The sequence below is a fragment of the Homo sapiens genome, chromosome 5 (genome assembly GCF_000001405.40).
Source record: "Homo sapiens chromosome 5, GRCh38.p14 Primary Assembly".
NCBI lineage: Eukaryota > Metazoa > Chordata > Mammalia > Primates > Hominidae > Homo > Homo sapiens.
Genome location: NC_000005.10, coordinates 24381634 through 24383935, shown reverse-complemented (window position 1 = coordinate 24383935; position 2302 = coordinate 24381634). Strand labels below are relative to the sequence as shown.

The window sequence follows — 2302 nt, the reverse complement described above, 5'->3', positions numbered from 1 at the left end:
AGCCCGGGAGTTCTAGACCAGCCTGGGCAACATAGTGAGACCCTGTCTCCACAAAAAAAATTTAAAATTAGCTGAATGATGGGGTGAGAACCTATAGTCCCAGCTACTCAAGAGGCAGAGGTGAGAGGATCACTTGCACCCAGGAGGCCAAGGCTGCAGTGGGGTGTGATTGTGGCACTGCAAACTTTAGCCTGGGTGACAGAGCAAGACCCTGTCTCAAAAAAAAAAAAAAGAAAAAAGAAAAAGAAAAAGAAAAATCCCCCACCCAGTAAGTTGATCAAACTTTTATTACATTTTACACAGAAAAGCTATCTCTGAATTATGGGGCAAGGAGCCCCATCTTATATAAAATTGAGATTTAACATTGCTATTAGTCCAAAGCAATTTTAATGTAATAGGTTGGTGGTCTGAAAAAGAATCCACATTACATTATGTGTACATTCTTTTATAGTGTAAACATTATTATTAATGTTCAGAATCCACTTTATTATGGTGGCAGGTCAATCTAACAGTTACTGTTTCTATGTTGCAATTGTGTGTGTACATCTATTATACTAAGGATATATATGTATAATTTTAAAAGATAGAGAGCATATCTACAATATTTTATAGTCTAACATATTTTTCCCAGTGCTGTTAACCTGTTATTGTGTGACAAAAATGATTGAGACATAATCAATTAGTATCAAATGCAGATTAACCAACATCCCAAAGTAAAATTTATTTACTTTGCAAATTAAATGGATATTTGATGTGCAAAACTTGTACTTAAAGTTAGTTAATAAATTTTTTTATGTTTTTATCTTCATTATTTTTTAACAGGTAGATCTGCTTATGTATAATGCCTTCATAAGCTTAGGTATTTTAAAATTTAATTATACACTTTTCATCTCTATAACCTGTATTATGGTCTAATTGGGTTTGCTTAGAAAAACTGTAATCATGTAATAAATGCCAATGGTTTTAGTTTATCATTTTCATAGGTAGGTTAATTAAAGAAATGATTTCTTTTTGTTTTCTTTTAAACATTGTGAAAAATGCACTCTGATATAAGGTATGAAATTAGAATACGATAGATTACAGGCTGAAATGGGTTGTAAATCAACTTTCAATACTGTGAATATTTTATAGCAGGCATTTGCAAACTAAAATTCTGACATTTATATAGCAATGCATGCATAATTTCACTCGTATATGTCATTTCCCTGAGATGAAAGTAATTTTAACATGCAAGGTCAAAGAAATGATTACCTCTGACAAATAATAATAAAAGAAGCTAAGGACAAGTATCAAGAAGTAATTTAACATTTTTCTATTTTGCAGAGCATTTAATATCTAATGTACACCTTTAGATAAGACTAGGAAAGGTGAGGTAGGAAATCCTTGAGGTAATACGGAGATAACTTCAAGGTAGATAAATTGTTCCTTTGATTTAATGGCTGCTATTGTTCTCTGGCCAAAACACAGTTGGAACTGTTCTTGTGGGATGGCAGTATCTCCTATATCTGATAAATGGTATGACCAGGACAACCTCAGTCTCAGCAGGAAAGACATTGAACAAATTGTCAGCATGATTTACATAGAAGTTGTCAACAGTATCTGGGTTGCTCTGTGAAAGAATGATGGGTAACAGATGTTCTGGGAAATGCTACCATCTGCCCTTTCTCAAAATACATCCCCTGTGAAACAATGCATTTGAATGGATGCCACTGAGATACCTTTCCTCGGAAGAGCTTAACCATCCTCAGTATTTCAGTGTTACTTGTAGCCATCACAAAAGCAAAACAGTCTGAAGACTGTAAATGCAATTAGGTCAAGGAAGCAGACAGGTCCTTGAAAACGTCTTTAAGTTTAGCCACGTCATTTGGAAAGGGATTGGCTGATGACTCCCGAGTGCTTGAGCTAGAAAAATTCCACCAAGAAGTCAGGAACTCGACCTGTGCATATCTAGCCAGTGATGTCATACTTGTGGATTATTTAGTGATTTGTTTAAATTCTACAGTGTCTTCACAATATTTTAAAACTATTTGCTCTACAGTTTACAATAATATAAATATAACCAGGAAAGTGAATATATAATTGAATAAATTGATAATAACTTTTGTATAAATGCTTTTAGTAATGGAGCAATGTGCTGAAGGTTAAATGCACAATGGTTGATCATTATTAACAACAGTAAGAGGTCAAGGCTCTTAAAGGGAAAAAACCTTTAGCCATTTCCTTAACCTCTATCTTGCTGGTATGTATTCTTTATTTTCAGTGAGTTTTTTTTCTTCTGCAGAGATGGTGATTAGATTGGTGC

At 33.8% G+C, this 2302-nt stretch overlaps 1 annotated feature.

The window, feature by feature from the left end:
• Nucleotides 1278-1957: an enhancer, noted in NCBI's record as "OCT4-NANOG hESC enhancer chr5:24382088-24382767 (GRCh37/hg19 assembly coordinates)". NCBI's record gives its function as "activates a minimal SCP1, AML or CMV promoter by ChIP-STARR-seq in primed H9 embryonic stem cells {active_cell/tissue: H9 hESC(primed)}" and the evidence as "EXISTENCE:reporter gene assay evidence [ECO:0000049][PMID:30033119]".